Source organism: Homo sapiens, chromosome 7 (genome assembly GCF_000001405.40).
Source record: "Homo sapiens chromosome 7, GRCh38.p14 Primary Assembly".
Lineage (NCBI taxonomy): Eukaryota > Metazoa > Chordata > Mammalia > Primates > Hominidae > Homo > Homo sapiens.
In genome coordinates, this window is record NC_000007.14 from 84,994,006 (window position 1) to 85,010,897 (window position 16,892).

The following is a 16,892-nucleotide window of genomic DNA, read 5'->3' on the forward strand; positions in this document are numbered from 1 at the left end:
GTGCCCGCCACCACGCCCGGCTAATTTTTTGTATTTTTAGTAGAGATGGGGTTTCACTGTGTTAGCCAGGATGGTCTCCATCTCCTGACTTCGTGATCCGCCCACCTCGGCCTCCCAAAGTCCTGCGATTACAGGCATCAGCCGCCGCACCCGGCCAGAAACTTTAAAAGAAGTAGTAACTTGTGGTAATAACGTTCATCTCAATCCACTAAAATCCAACTTCATTGGATATTGCCAAATCACTTTCCAAGGTGAGTGTTTATGCCAACATATATGTAATGTAAAAGTATATGAGCTTCTGAAACAAACAATAAATGTATTTTCAACTTCATCTTCTTTGCACAGGAGTTCTTTTGACTAGGAAAGCCAGGTTAGTAAAGACAGCAAGTTGTGTGGTCTTACATGCTTTCCATTCTCAACTAAACTGTTACATTCTTGTTTCTTCTGTCTTGAGAATTACTTAAGTGTCTTTATGTACTCAAATAAATATACCTGAAAATTTCTCAATTATTAATCTTGCATTTCATCTACAGTAAAAGCTTGGACATGATCTAGTACCTAAGAACTCTGCTATGGTCTGAATTTTTGTGTTCCCTCTTTCCTCAATTTAAGCATTGAAATCCTAACTCCCAAGATGATGGTGTCAGAAAATGGGGCCTTTTGGAAGTTGATTAGGTTATAAGAGTGGAACCCTGATGAGTGGGATCATTGCCTGTGTAGAACAGGCCAAAGAGAACTCATTCACCCCTTCCACTATGTGAGGACACACAAGAAGGCATCGTCTATGAATCAGAAAGTGGCCCTAACTAGACGCAGAATCTGCCAGTACCTAGATCGTGAACTTCTCTGGCTTCAGAACTGTGAGAAATACATTTCTGTGGTTTATGAGCCACCCAGTTTACTGTATTTTTGTAGTAGCCCAAAAGAAGTAATAATTTTTAGGTGTTTTATGTGAAAATTATTTGTTCTTTTAAAGACTATTACTGTAAACTTATGTTACAAGCTTGTCAGTGACAGTTCTCAACACGGTTTCTCTCTTTATTATTTGAGTACCACATTTGTAGGACATTATATTATTTATTTGCACATATAAAATATTCTTCACGTGTGCACCAAATTGGCAAGAAATATGTGTCTGTAAAATAAATTTTAAAAATGTTTTTATGAAGCAAAATTAAAGACAAAATCCATACCTTACTCTTTAATAAATTATACTCCAATACAGCTAAACATGTAGATGAGTATTTTTAAGTAATCAGATGGCAATTGAGAACTTTAAAAGAAGTAGTTATTTGTGGTAATAACATTTATCTCAATCCACTAAAACCTAAATTAAATCACAATAAAGCTTAGCAATATAATGGTATCAAATTGGGTGGGACACATTCTTTTCTTTCATAAATGAAATTACTGCATACTTACAGTGTAAAATACATCTACTGAACATTTCAGAAAATATTGCATCTTATATTTTCTTTAGTCCTATTTTATATATAAAATTTACTGTATTTGGGGTTTGAAAACAAAATTTGCACACAAACCAGTAGTTTTTATAATCATAGAACAGTCATGTTTGCATTTTATTATAATACAACCAAAATATACATTTAACAATTTTTAATTATTTCATACTACAAGACTACATTTCTTTTAAAATAGCAGAATTATAAATTCAAAATTGATTGCTAACCACTCACAATACCAGAATTAAATTACATGATTAACTAGGGCATCTGACACATTTTGCCCTTTCCCAAAAATCATCTATCTCAAACCCTTTCCATAAATACTTTATACTATAAAATATTTAAATGAGAGGTATAAGTCATGTGTATGATCCTGTCTTTGCACTCCTAATGTATGGAATCTGGGAATCGATTTTATTTTACCTGACTTGTAAGATGAATTATTTAAAATTGTGATCATTTACTATGATAAAAATACATCTCCTATAAAAACACTTCAAATATCTTTTTTTTTTTTTGGTTTGTTTCTAAATTATCCATTCCCAATAAGGTTAACCAATTCCAAAATGTTTTCTAAGAAAAATGTGACATTCTAAAGGGAGGCTATTTCAGTTTTGATTTCCATTTGTATTATATAAATAAATATGAAATACAACATTTAAGTTTAAGAAAATCAGTATTTAATGAATGCTCTTATTATTTTTTGGACAGCTGAATGATATCAAGTTGTTCTTGGAAATTCAATTATGATAATGAAAACAAGTGACTACTAATAACTTATTGTTTAGCTGAGTCTGTAAAATTCAGCAGGAACAAAACATACTAGAATATGAAGAACCAAAATATGAACCAAAAGCAAAATTCAAGAGTAAGACCATTTTGTAGCCAGCATATTGTAAAGAGCATTATTTTAGCCAACAGAATGATGAGACTTTATGAATTTTAATTCTTCCACTACTGTTGTGGCTTTTGCAAATTACTAAATTTCTCTGTGACTACTTTTCCATTTCTTAAGTAATTTGGTTGGTTTCCAAAAGTCAATAATGTGGATGTAGTGTTTTGAGCTCTTTGGAAAAAAGGACTCTACATAAATTAATTAGACAATTCATTTCTAAATAAAATCTCAAAATTTACAATAAGTTGAATGTAAATGAATGCAGACATGCGGGATTCTATTTAGCAGCATAAATTGCTGAAATGAAATTCAGAAAAGAACACACAAGGCAGACAAAGACAAAAGTATTAGAGACAAGAAAAATACGAAAACATGAGTAAACAGGCATTTTAAGATCCCCTCCGCAGAGTCAATTTCTTAGCATATTTGAAACCATTAACTATACTTTTCTTTTTCATTATTTTAAGGCAAATTTGATAAAATAGTCAGTGGTGAGGAAGTATATAGTGTGTTTGTGGATTTAATATATTCATACTCTTTCTCTAAATGTTCTAGACAACTAAAAAGCTAAGAAAAAAACACATTTTAGATATTCTTTATCTTTAAAAATACATATAAATATGTGTACTCTATGTTGTTTTTTATTGTGTGAAATTTTATTTTACTAATAATATTTTTAATATATTTTAACTAATTATCATAAATCAAGAGTATTGTATCCAAAGCAGCCAGAATATTAGATGTGGTCATAAAATAAGTTTCCAAATTTTGTCTGAATAACTAGGATTAGAAAGAAGTAACTAAAAAATGGTTTGGACATTCAAATTTGGATAGAAATAAAATTTATTTTCATAAGTCAATCCTAACACTTGAGCTTCATGTAAATTTTCCAAAGTCATTCATATTTTGATCATTACTGTCGGACCCACAAATATTTGGAAATTTTTTTTAAATTAAAAATGTTCCCACTTAATTGCTTTGAGCTCGCTATGAGTTCCTGGAATATTTTGTCCAAGCAAATCTATAATTACAAACACTGTTGTTACGCTATTCAATTAGAAGTCTGATCATGCCACACTGTTCTTCTGAATTACTTTTTAAATGAGTGATTTGTTCTGGTTCACTTTTATTAAAATTATTCCTTAGCTGTTCCTTATAGTGAAACACCTACAAATATTCATCAGTATAATATCAAAAGGGAGTACTCAATCTCATATATCAGTTTGACTACTTTGAGATAGGTAAGCAATGCAAATAAAATAAAAATAACAGAGAGAGAATGCTCTCAACATAGAGCCACAGATCTTGCATTAAGTTGCCCTCTAATCACAGGGTTTTCTCACAGACTTTTCTTTCAAGATATGTAGAATGCATGAGAAACGAGCAATGTCTGTTATTTTCTGAAAAGCTGCCTTCCATGTGAGGAAGTGACTAATTTTTCATTTCACACTATAAAGGGCGTGAAAAGGCAAAACAGAAGAAGGCTAAGGGTTCTGTGTTACAAGAAGGAAAGGTGAGTTCTGCTTAAACAGACAGGAAACACACCATGCATATTCAGAGGGAAAGTCAAATTGAAAACATTTGAAAGTACTAACAAAATATGAAAGATGTTTATGTTAATATTGTGAGTTTGGTTCTTTTTACATGTAGCAGGCTTATTTATTGTTAAATTACAAAAACAATACTACAATTACAACAGATTAACTCAGCAATGAGAAAAGGTTGAGTGAAGATGTCAAAGAGTTAATTTAACCCTTTCCGTTGTTAAAATTTTACACTCGTTCTGTTATTCAACAAATATATATCCCCACTCCCCAGAAATGTCATTTTCTTAATTCTCTGTGTGTTATATATTGTTTTCTCCTATTCACTCAAATATAATCACAAAATCCAATATACAGGAGAGAATAAAGGCAGTAAAAAGAAATAATATACAGAGTATGATAAATATTTTTTAAAAGAGAGAAAATATATACTGAAATATCATTGGTTATAAATAAAATGTCTACTCTTCCTATGATTCTTCAGAAGAATTTATGTTTCCTCAGATTTTGCTAGCAGTTTGTTATAATCTAGATTTTTTTTAACAGATGAATTACAAATTGGCAGCTACTTATACCCTAGTGAAAAGAGCTCCATTACATTACTCTCACTTTATTTGTGATTGTTCTTCCTTTTCATGGGGATATGAGTTTTCCCCAAAGCCAGAATTTATGGCTGTCTTTCCTTCTGTCTTCTAACAAATCCCATCTGCATGCCTTCCCATCAGGATGCATTATACATCATTATGTTTTCCTTGTTTTATTAAAATATTTTCCCATATCTTATTAAAGTATTTATTAAGCATTCTGTCCCTGTAGAGCTTAGTATATACTCTAAAAAACACATAACTAAGCACCAACTTCTCTCTGTGAACCTGTTACTCCTGACTAGTCAATAGAAATCCTGGGGGAAACATTAGTGCCCTTCAGTAAATCAATGTTGTAGTACACTAAATTTAACCCCAGTGGCCAGAAAGAAATAATGCACCTCTCCAAATTCCTATACCATTCTCCAGGAGTGAATGGCTCACTGAGAAAGTTCCTGTTGATAATGGGAGTTGTCTTAATTTGTGTCTGACCTCTTATTCCCTACCACAAGGTAGCTGGTTCTCAATAGGAATGATATATCTGTTCATAAGAACATAGCACAACTGCATGGTAAATTCCATGCTTAATGGACATTCGAGGGAATAAAGCACCTTATACACTATCAAATTCGGGGCTTGCTTAGCTCAACTATTTACATGACAATAAATTCCAAAACTCAAAACATAAAACATTTACAACTGTAAACCCCCTATTTTTAGGATAATTCTTATACTTTGCTTGTGCAAGATTTGTTCTTGGAAAACTGGTTCAAATGAATTTTTTGCCCTTTCTTATATTCATCACATATTGTCTTATTCAGATTATTGTCTTGTGCCTTAGCAAAACTCCATGGGAAGCATTTATGAATTACTATAAGGGATATACAAAACAGAAGGCAATGTTTTTATAGGTAAGGAATTCTTTTCTTTAAATTAAGTAGAAAACTACGTGGCTACAGCTCTAGGGAGCTCATCCAGGTCTCTGTGATGTCTTCGATTTCGTTTCTTCTTCATTTCCTGCATGTGCTTCCACTTTGGGCCCCCCTTGTTTCTCTGTCTCCGCTTCTCCCTGTGCCACATCTGTTCGCAGTACTGGTCGAGGCTGAAGTTTGGGCTGCTAAGGATTTGGATGTAGTCTTTGTATCTCAACCGTGACTCAGCCAATAGATCCTTGACCTTCCCCTCCTCATGCTCTGCCCTCTGGGTATTTTCCATCTGTTCATTCTCAATGACATTCAAAGTCAGCTTCACTATGGTGTGGATGAAAGTGTGCTCCTGGGCTTTGCAGTAATACATCCCAGAATCCTTCTTCTGCAAACTTCGAATCAGTAGCCCATATTCCGTTTTGATGATTCTTTCATCGGGCTTCAACTGCAGAATTGGAAAAATGTAGGTAATAAATTAAACACAGAGAGAGCTAAGAGCAAATGAAAACAGGCTACATAGTTTTACTTAGATGAATATGAAAGACATATTCATTGTCTCTCTGTCTCTGTCATCAAGCATAATATTGTCAGCCATAGTTAAAAAGAGTAAAAAAATTCAACAAAAGTAATAGCCCCCAAACTATATCCTTAATTTTTCACATTTGAATCTTAGTAAGTCTAACTGAACCTTTGGAATGCAGTTATTTTTTTTCTCTCAATATGCAGATAGGAATGAAAAACTGTGAAAAGTAATGAAAAACTGGAAACCATCAAGTGGCCTTCTTTACAGAGATTTCATATACAAATTACTGTATCAAGATCATAAATTAGCACCTGAAATGTGGAGCAAGAATGCAACATTTACAATTGTATAGAACACATTGTATAGAAAACGAGCTTCAGTACATGCTACTACCTATAATGTAGAATAGAACAATAATTCCAAGTGGAATTTACTGCTTTCCAGATATCACCAAATACGTTCTGTGAGTAGCATATGAAAGCCATAAATGATGACGTCTTTAAAGTCAAAGCCAAAGGTACGGGTATAGTCTTTTGGACGTTAGAGCTGTAATTGAGTAGGACCCTAGTCAGAAGATTAGCAACATTGAAAGCTGAATTTCTCTCTTTGCTGTGGATTGAATTTTCATACTGTATATATATGTGATACTTTATACTGTCATTTGTGGAAATATTTGCCATGCCTTTGTATGCTATGACATGGTAATGTGATTTCAAGTGTGAGAAAGCACAATGAACACAAAGAACTTCTACTGAAATGTGATGCTCTCCAGCCTTTGAAGCATTATTACTAAAAGACAATTCTAACATTAAGCTTGACTGGCTCATGATATGGTGTGAATAATGAACCTATCTTCAGTAAAACTAGAGGCATGTTTACCCACAAAAGAGCCCTGCTTAATGTGGAGTATTGTTGAGTGGTTCAGCATTAAGTGGAATAACAACAACAACAGCAACAAAGAAGTTCTGGAAGATTTCCCAGTTTACACATCTGCCCCTGTATTGTAGACTTTTAGATGATGGAAATCAAGGAGGCATAAAGATGGCTAAATTAAATTTATTCACAGTGGGTGGATTGTACTCTGCATCTTTATGTGAAAAATATGTAGGAAAAAATCTCCCCAATTCTGGAAATATGAGAAAAGGAAAAGAAACATCTCTGGCTACCAGCCCAGTTAACTAACAAGTATATGGCAAGCCACCCTCTGTGCCAGAGAAGTGCAGCTGGCGGGGAACCATTTGAGGCCAAAGGCAGGTCACAGCTCAGATCCCTGGTTAATGAGGCTGAATGGTCTCCAGGCCTGCCTTTGCTCTGCACTGAATCCACACCATCAGAGTTTTGTTTGTTTGTTTCTCTTATGTTGCCTATTTGGTAAGCTGGATGTGGTATTCTTTTTCTTATGGATTTATTCTTAAAGCCCAGACATTTAGAAATGCTATTGTAATACAAACTAACTTTGAATTAATTTACATTCTCAGAAACCATAGAAGTCTCATGCCTAAAATAAATGTGAATTTGAATTGGGAGAGTTCTAAATGGCCAATCTTAAACATAACTGACAATCTCAAATTTAATACACTACGTATAATTGTTTTTTTCCCTTAGATAATTTCATTGTAATTTTTTAAAATTTAATACACTTTAGGTCTCAAAATGCTAGCTTCATAACCTAACCTTCTGGTCTCTACTCTGTTTCCTATGATGACTCATTTTTCTTCCCCCATTGGTCTCCCATCTATCAAGTTGGTGGCACAGCATATGGTGTGTTTGGGGGATTAAAAGCAAAGCTCTTTGAAGGTTAAAATGTGAAGTATTATTAGCAACATTACATACTACTGCCATGCTGCTTGAGAGGTAATATTTTGAAGCCTTTATTACTGTAATTCTCTTAATAGAAAATGGCCTGAGGTTATTAGCATGACAATCAAAGTGGATATCTCCACTTCTAGTTCATCTCTAGATTTCCTTTACATAACTGGTACTCTTGCTTATGTTTAAATTACATTTAATGTGGCTTTTAGAGATTATCACAGCTCTGACTAGGACTTTTTATTGTTCTCTTTAATCTTCTGACAGGAAGAAATTATGACTTGATCTCACCCATATTGTGTAACACTTCATCATTACTTTTGCTATTATCTTTTTGTATCCTGTTTATGTTGTTGTACTTTGAGGTCTGGTTCCCTTCCATCCTTTCCCCTCTAGTTCTGTCCCCACAGGACTCAGGATTCCATAAACACCTGGCATTCCATTACACGGTCATGATCTTTCAACTTTCTTTTCTTCCGTGGAGTGCTGGATTTGTTCTGTGGTTTTTGACCTACAGATATCATACTTGATTTAATAAATTTTCAGCTTTCTAGGTCTAACTAATGTCTGTTAGATCATTTAACTATTATTTTTCTTGCTAAAATTTCAATAATATGCTTTCAGTAAACTGGCAGCTCTAATAAAAGACATTTTGAATAGATATATTTACAGAGAATTTTTGCAATTTAGAGATAAAAATCTGTGACCCAGAAACTAAGTAGTTGATTAACATTTGCCTACTTTCCAGTCTCTTTCTCTGTAATGCTTTCATTCTTTGCTGAAATAGGATGCATTATGCAGACTGTATCTCAACAGTGAAATGTCAGCACAGTCAATTTAGAAAATTCAGCTCCTCAACAAAGAGATAATGTAATCTCTGGCCATTGATTTAAACTCTTGGAATTTTCTCCACTCTAGAAGTGATAAGTAAAAACTGCTCAACTTTACAAATTAAAACCACGTTTGAGCTGGGGTCAACTATCCATTTGCCTAATGTGAACAAGGATAATATAACTGGCATTATTAAATGTAGATCTTCAGTGAAGGGCAATTCATCTAACATGAGAAGAGTAACATGGAAGGGACAAAGGACATTTAAGTATTAAGCAGCAGGTAAAGGTCAGGGACTTTATCTCTTATAATAGCAGCCTAATAGTAGTTCTTTTACAGATAATTCACCTGTCAGTTCTTTCATAGTAAAACCACTGCACGTGCCTTGGAAGAGATCAGGGCTTCAAAAATATCCCCTTTCTCTAACAAACACAAAATATTACTAGAGGGAAATTAGGATTAAAAAATAAAGAAAGCTCCTTGTGTGAGAAAACAAATGTCTGCAAAACTGTTGCAAAAATTTTTCTGTATTTAAGAAATAGACTGAAAAGTTTTCTTATTTAATTTGGAAGAAAGGAAAATGAACTGGAATGGAATCATTTGTATACATGTTTTTAAATTTATCAGAGTTTACTTACATGACACTGTATATCATCCATCTATTATACCACAAAACCGACAATTAATATTTTAAGTAAACATTAGAAAAGGGAAAACTTACTAAAGGGGATGCTGGAGCAATGAGCTCGTTATTAAAAAGAAAAAATCAAATATACACATACCTAAATAACTACTAGATTAATTTACTATCTTTGGGTACATGTAAATACAATATGCAAAATGTAAAAAAATCATAAAATAACTAGAAAAATATATAATTGCTGTCTCATTGGGGAAGGAGTCTTTAAGCATAACAGGTGAGATATCACAGAGCCATAAATCAACAGATTTGCCTATATAAAACATAAAATGTGTCAGAAAGTCAGAAATTGTCAGAAACAAAATAAATGTAAAATAAAATAAATGTATATGTATAACATTAAATTATTAATATCTGTAATATATAAATGACATTACAATTATTATTAAATAAACATGCCAATATAAAGTAAGCAATGACAGACAAGACAATTCACCAAATACAACCGAAGCCAACAACCAAGACACATAAGAAGGTAAGTTCACATTCACTAATATTCAAAGAAGTAGATATTAATGCAATACATTTTTTCATATTAAACTGATAAAGATTTTCTTAAATTGTGAACCATAATTTTGCCTCAGGGATTCATAACAGACACTAATACAGTGATTTTTATGTGAAATTAGCAATACGCTGTTGTTTATCAAAATCCATAAAGATAACAAATGTCTTTAACTTATTTATTTTACTTCTAAGATTTTTTTCCTAAGAAAATAGTTAGAAAGCAGAGAAAGACTCAGATATAACAAAGTTCATTATTATTATTTTAAGCAGGAACATGATCTAGTGAGAGAACACCTGGAATACCTATGGATAACTACGGCATCAGGGTAGGATGCGTGGGAGACAGAAAAAACATGGAAGTGACATTAAATGATAATGGAAAATGCTCACAGTGCAATGGTGAGTGAAAAAAAAGCTGGAATAGACATCAAAATATTATTTATGCTTATCTACACTTAGTGGCCTCATAGTTCTTTTATGTGTTACTGTAATTTTAAAATCATTTATATTGCTTTTAGAATAAAAAGAACAAAAATAAAATAAGGCTTACAAGTGGAATAATGCAAGTATTTGAAGATTTTTTAAAATGTTATTAAAATGCACAGAGAAAATATAGTATGGCCTTGTTTACTTATTCAGATCCCAAAAGTTCAACAGAAGCCTGGGGACTGCCAATTGACTTGCTAGTTATAGCATAAACATCATCAATTTTAAGAACAGTTTTATAAGAAAGTCAGCAGATAACTGACTCATGACCTCCCGTACAGCACCCAACTGTGAAACAGCTCAGTAAGGAAATGTTCTCCTCCTGGCAGAGAATAACCTGGTGACAGCCTCTGTGCCACAGGAGATCATGGTCCCTCCCGCAGGCTGTTTTTGAGTGGAGGAAAGATTCCAAACTGTGACCTTATGGGTAAGAAGCAGAAGGCATCCTGCTGGGAAAAATGCTTCAAGTATAATCTGGATATTGCCCTTTTCCTCAGCTCAGGAAGCAGTATTGCATACCCTGGACAATGTGAAACTCTCTATTTACAAAGATAAATGAAAATACCAGTTGAAATATTACAGCAAAGATACTTCTTTTAAGTAAAATTCGATAAGTATTTCTGCTCCATTGAAATTCATGGAGCATGGTACCATTATGAATATATAATATACTTTTAAAAGGTAAATTAAAGTAATGCACAGAATTTTCAAGAAAATGAAAGATGTGAGTGCAAACAACCACAGGCAAATGTAAGTATCTAGAGCTGAGAGCTGAACTCAAGCAGAGGACCACATATTTTTAAAAATCAGATTAAATTTCCCATGAAGAAAAAAGCCATTTATTAAAGAATTATATTTAACTGAAAAGCAATTATCCAACTTTATTCGCTATGAAATTCAAAATATTGGTTTGTGACACTTAAGATTAAAACATTGCAATGTAACAAAAAATCTGCAAGTTAAAAAATTTCAGTATCATTCTTTCAATATTTCTTGGATAGTAAATAAATGCCTTATATTTTGAAATTAAATAATCATTTCTGTATCAAATAATATTTCAATATATAGGTAAAAAATGGGACCCTTAAAATAAATATTCAGTGTAACTATGAATCTGCCATAATCTTAGGACTTATAGAAGTCAGGAATGATGACGAATCTAGTTTTATTGGCGAAATTTGACTTAACAAAGCATGAAATTATTCCTTTATTTTTGTATTAAGTATGTAAAGAGTTAACATTTAGAAAAAGTTATTCTTGTAGCTGTCAGATGAAGAGAATTATATTAAATTCTTCATGTAACAGTAGAGCTATATCTTTAAATTAATTTCTTATGATAAAATTTGATTTTTTTACTTGAAGGTTTCTTAACCTCTCAGCAGCATTCACGTTTGGAGTGAGATTTTTCTTTTACTGTGAGGGACTGTGCATTGTAGGATTTTTAGAATCATCTCTGACCTCTACCCAGTACACACCAGGGGCACCCACTTGGCCACCCACCCACCCAGCTGTGATGTTCAAAAATGTCTCCAGACATCGCCCAATATTGGCACTCTGGAAACAAAATTACTGGAGGTTGAGATCCACTGTTATGTACTAATGTTTGACTTAATTACATGTACTATTTTAAATGTTTATAGACTTTTCAATAAGGCTGATATTTTAGAGAAATTTGATTTATTTACATAAGAGAGAAACTCAGTTCTAGAGAAGTTATGATCTGCTCATGAATTCTCAGGAGTCAAGCCAAAGGTAGAACCAGTATTTTCCAAACACATGATTAGTACCCTTTCCTGATCCACATGTAAAATACCCTCACTAATAGGGTATCTGTAATTTTATATGCATATTTTACAGTTGTAAGAGCCTCTTTTTTGAAATTCTACATTCTCATATGCATTTTGCACTTAATTTTATAGTAACTTTTGAATTTATTTTGTTCACTTAGAAAATTGGGGGCTCAGGAACATTACCAAAGGTTTAAGGACCATGTTTCAACTCAAGATATGCAGTTCTGAATCCTGTGTTCATTCCATTATTCATTATAGTGTCCTTAGTTTAACATGTCTGGATACTTATCTAATTTGCTCATATAATTTGATAAACATAGATATTTCTGTTTTAATATAACCCTCAAAATGTTTCATTTCATGATCTAAATTAAACACAATGTGAACTAAAATGTAGTCACTGTGCTACTGTGGGAAGAAAAATACGGTGTTCTTGTTATTAGTCAGGGATTTGTTCCTAAATATAGGCAATCTATGAAATATGGAATTTGGAAAAAAAATGTAAATTTCTTTAAAAAAATCAGTCTGCTTTCAAATATATTTTACGAATACATTTGTGTGAAGTTGGCCTATTCTTATCTCAAAGCTATTGTTACCTTTGGTGTTAGTGAGTAAAACCTGTTATTTTTTTTAATCAAATAATGATGAGAGTAGCATACAGAATTAAAAGTTGAACATCTCTCAATCGTACACTATTTCCCTCAAAGTGAGTATTCTTTGATGACAACAGCTTACCTCCTCTCGATGCTCATCCCCTGACCTCTGGATATACCATTTAATAGTTGCTTGTTGGGATTTAGGTATACATTCCAGAAAGGTTGAGTTAAATTCAATGCCAAAAATCACCTTTTCATCAGCAGTTTCATGACTAATGCCTGGAAAGCAAACATGGAATAAGAGATTAACCTTGACCTGATTTTAAAAGCAATGGGAAAACAGACTGATTCAGAACAGATGCCATGGGGAAAGAATCATATACATTATTAAAGAGAAAGGAAATTCATGTTATAATATTGTTACCTGAGACAAATATTACACAACAGATTGATTTTTAAAATTTGATCCCTGTATTGTAATTTTTATTCTTTCATCAATATATTAGCTATTTGCACTTGATTTTAAAAAATAGTGTTCATAATATCAAACTCTATATATTGAGATTTTTTTCTTTGAGCTGAATAAATCTTTTGCATCTTTTAGTGCTTTAATACTTTTTTGTTAATATAAAATATAAACAATTTTGTAGATAGTTCTGGAGGGGCAGTTTGCTTTAATTTAAAGATAATTTCTATCATGAATTGGTCCACAGAGCTGATCAGATAACAGAAAATTTTGATATCAGAAAAGTAAGTTATAGTGATCTGCACCTGACAAAATTCTATGATGATGATGATGAGCCAGATGCACTAATACTCAATATCTGGGCCTTATCTGTATTAATCTACCATTTTTTTTCTTTTTTATACTGAGGGATTTTTTAAACCCAATATACATTTGCTATGAGATAGTTACTAGGATGCTTAAAGGAACAGTGTCTCAGACACCTTATTCTCATAAATCAATGCACCATCTGAAATACATTCCATCTAGAGTAGCCAAAGGCTGTGTCCCTTGTGTGATCTAAGAGCTCTAGCTCAAATTTGATCAAATAAAAAATGACAGCTGCTCAGCTTGGCCCAAATATGCACTATTTCATCATATATTCAGATATCTCAATTTTACAGATTGGCTTACTTAGCACTATAGACATCAACTAGAGTAAGGTTTAAGGGACCAAGTGAATCCTAAACCTAAGCATACAAATGAGCAGCAAATGGCATAATTGCACATATATTAGTTAGGCTTCTTTTCAAGAAACTAATTTTGAATTTATTTGTGTTTTATCAGCAAGGATTAAGTCAAGCATGCTGACACCATTATGAATTAACCTCATCTAACCTTCAAAATGTGTGGATTCCATTTAAAACCTGTAGTCTATCAACTATCTCCACCAATTCAACAGATTATAGCTGTGATTTTTACAGTTAATAAATTCCTAATGCACAGAAAGATCACTGGTGCCAGTCATGGAAAAGAAAGACATGCACCATCTTATAATAACAGATACAATTTTCCTGAGAAAGGGATTTTGTCAACAAAGTAGGGGACGATGTAGGTTGATTGTTGGGATATGGGGCAAGGGTTCAGGAGAAATGCAATTAGACTGACTTAACCAAAGAATTGGTCAATTTAGTAAAAGATAAATTGGTGAAATCAACTGGAAAAGTAATAGTGAGCTCATTATCTGAACTCTTTTTTCAAATTAATAGAAATAATGTCTGACATCTCTGCATCAGTTTCACTGAAAATGAAAATGAATTTATTGTTACTTCCAATAATGTTTGTTTCACTTTTGAATTTTAAGTTTTCCACTTTAAAAGTTTTTAAACGTACATAGATGTATGCATATTATATACACATACACACACACATACACACACTATCATACACAAAGGTTAAGCATCCTTAATTCAAAAATCTGAAATCCAAAATGCTCCAAAATCCAAGACATTTTCAGCACAGACATAAACCACAAGTGGAAAATTCTACTTGATAGTTGCAGTCAAAAGGCAGGGACACAACACACAGTTTATGTGTGAATAAGTGTAAGAAAATGATTGCTTATTGGTAACATATAAATTCAGAGTCAGGAATGATGGTGATGCCATGCAACCACAGATTGTCCACATTGGTGGCTGAGAAAATAACACCTTTACTTTCTTATGGTACAATGTACACAAACTTTGTTTCATGTACAATAATATTAAAAATACTATACAGAATTACCTGAAGGCTATGCGTATAAGGTGTATATGAAATATAAATAAATTTTGTGTTCAGATTTGGGTCCTATTCCAAGATATTTCATTATGTATATGCAAATATTCCAAAATCTGATAAAATGCGGAATCCAAAAACCTTTTGGTCCCAGGCATTTCAGATAAGGAATATTCAACTTGTTTTGTTCTATCATGACCTAAATTTTAAATGTGTAAAAGTTATATACCATAGTGTTTTGAAATAGTTAAAATAGCTTCTTATTACATGTAAGATAATTGTGGAGTTTTTTTTTCCTCTAGATTGCAGTCAAAAAAATTTTTATAGTAAAATGCCTAGAATACCTCTTTATAATAAATATATAGCTTGTCATTAAAGTGCAAGATTGATCTGTTTAATGTTGTTGAACTATTTTTCTGCATGTATTGCTGATTTTATGTCACTGATAATCATGCAATTTTGTAGCTTTTAACAATTAAAGCAATAATGAAAGAAAATAAAGAAGAAAAGAAACATCTTTGCCCATTATTCAAGACTTGACTTTCTAATAAAATGCAGCACACATTTATGGTGGATTAGAAACAAGTCATTTAATTTGTAAATATCATTACAATCTCTACTCTAACTCCCACAATTGATTATTTGCCTCTAGTGTTTCATACTCCAATCAATTTTCTATACAGGTGTCAATCACTTTTATTTAAAAAAAAAAACAACTTTTCTGAGCAATATGAAATAGCTCCTAGCACCTATAAAGTAAGAAATAAAATTAATAGAATCACATAGACCCTTTCACAAACTTTACCCAATCTATGTGAGGTCTTTCTGATTTTAATTATTGTTACTTCATTTACTTTATAAAATCTAACTTTCTCCTGAAGGTATAGCTCAAATGCTATCCATCTGAATATCCTTCCATTTACCTGTCTATTGCACAACTGTTATTGTGTGCCTAACACACTAACATCATTTTAGGTGCTAGGATAATATGACAGGACGAATATGAAATTCACTGCCCTCTAGAAATTTACATTCTAGTGACATAGACAAAGTAATCAAGTAAATGAATAAAAAAGGAATATCTGCTGCAAAACAATAAAGGAGATGAGAAAATACCAAGGGCAAAAAAAAAATGTATTTTAGATGAGATGATCAGGAAAGGTGTCTCTGAAGAATTAACATTTAACTATAAGATTAATTGATATAAAAAGATGGAGCTAAGTAAACATCTGAAAAACAAGTTCCTCAGGTACAGAGGACAATGAATGCAAACATACATAAGGCAGCAACCCATTGATGCTTTTGAAAAAGAGAAAGCTACTAAGTGAATCTAGCAACAGTGATGTGAGAGAGGGTCAGAGAATATACTAGCGATCAGGTCAAGAAGCATCTTACATGCCATAGGAAAGCTTTCCGGTTTTTCACCAATTGTTCTAAGAAGCTATTGAAAAATGTTGAGTAAGGGAGTGACATGCCCTGACTGAAGTTTTTAAAAAGATGACTCTGGCTAGTAAGTGGGGTATACAACTAAGTGGGGTACAGACAGAAGTGGTTCAAGTGTGGAGGCAGAGAGACCAGTGAAGTAGCTACTGAAGAGCTACTGTGGCCTCAGTTAGGCTGGCATCTGTGGGTATGATGAGAAGTAGGAAAGCTTGGCCATGAGCCAGAAGGACTAACTGAGAGGTTGGTGATAGGATGGGAAAGAAAGAAAATAATATAAAAGTGACTCCTAGCTGCTTTTTGACATAAGTAGCTGGGTGAATTGTGTGCAATTTATTAATATAGGAAAGTCTGCTGAACAAATAAGTCTTGAAGAAGATAATAAGAATTCTTTCTCAGACATAAGTTTGAAATGCTAATTAGGCTTTCAAGTGGAGCTCTTTAGTAGGCATACAAGTGTCTGTGTCTGGTACGTAAGGGTGAGTTCAGAATTGGACTATGAATTTGGGAGTGAAATAGCCTCTGATAGTGTTGAAATAGACAGTATTAGGGAGTCAGTAGACAGAGAATGGAA

The 16,892-nt window shown here is 32.8% G+C and overlaps 1 protein-coding gene across 7 annotated transcripts in view, besides 1 other annotated feature; it reads right to left on the reverse strand.

Annotated features, from left to right (window-relative positions):
- SEMA3D (semaphorin 3D) overlaps positions 1,548–16,892 on the reverse strand; it is a 254,691-nt gene continuing 239,346 nt past the window's right edge. For all 7 annotated transcript variants that reach the window (NM_001384901.1, NM_001384903.1, NM_001384902.1 and 4 more), the window contains 2 exons: positions 12,797–12,936; positions 1,548–5,860 (listed from right to left, as the gene is read on the reverse strand). In NM_001384901.1, coding sequence (NP_001371830.1) covers positions 5,435–5,860; positions 12,797–12,936 — 566 coding nt within the window. In that variant the 3' untranslated portion in view covers positions 1,548–5,434. The remainder of the gene's footprint in view (positions 5,861–12,796; positions 12,937–16,892) is intronic.
- Positions 5,442–6,641: an enhancer, noted in NCBI's record as "BRD4-independent group 4 enhancer chr7:84628763-84629962 (GRCh37/hg19 assembly coordinates)". NCBI's record gives its function as "activates an origin of replication core promoter dependent on BRD2, P300/CBP, MED14 and CDK7 cofactors, and independent of BRD4, by STARR-seq in HCT116 cells {active_cell/tissue: HCT116}" and the evidence as "EXISTENCE:reporter gene assay evidence [ECO:0000049][PMID:35650434]".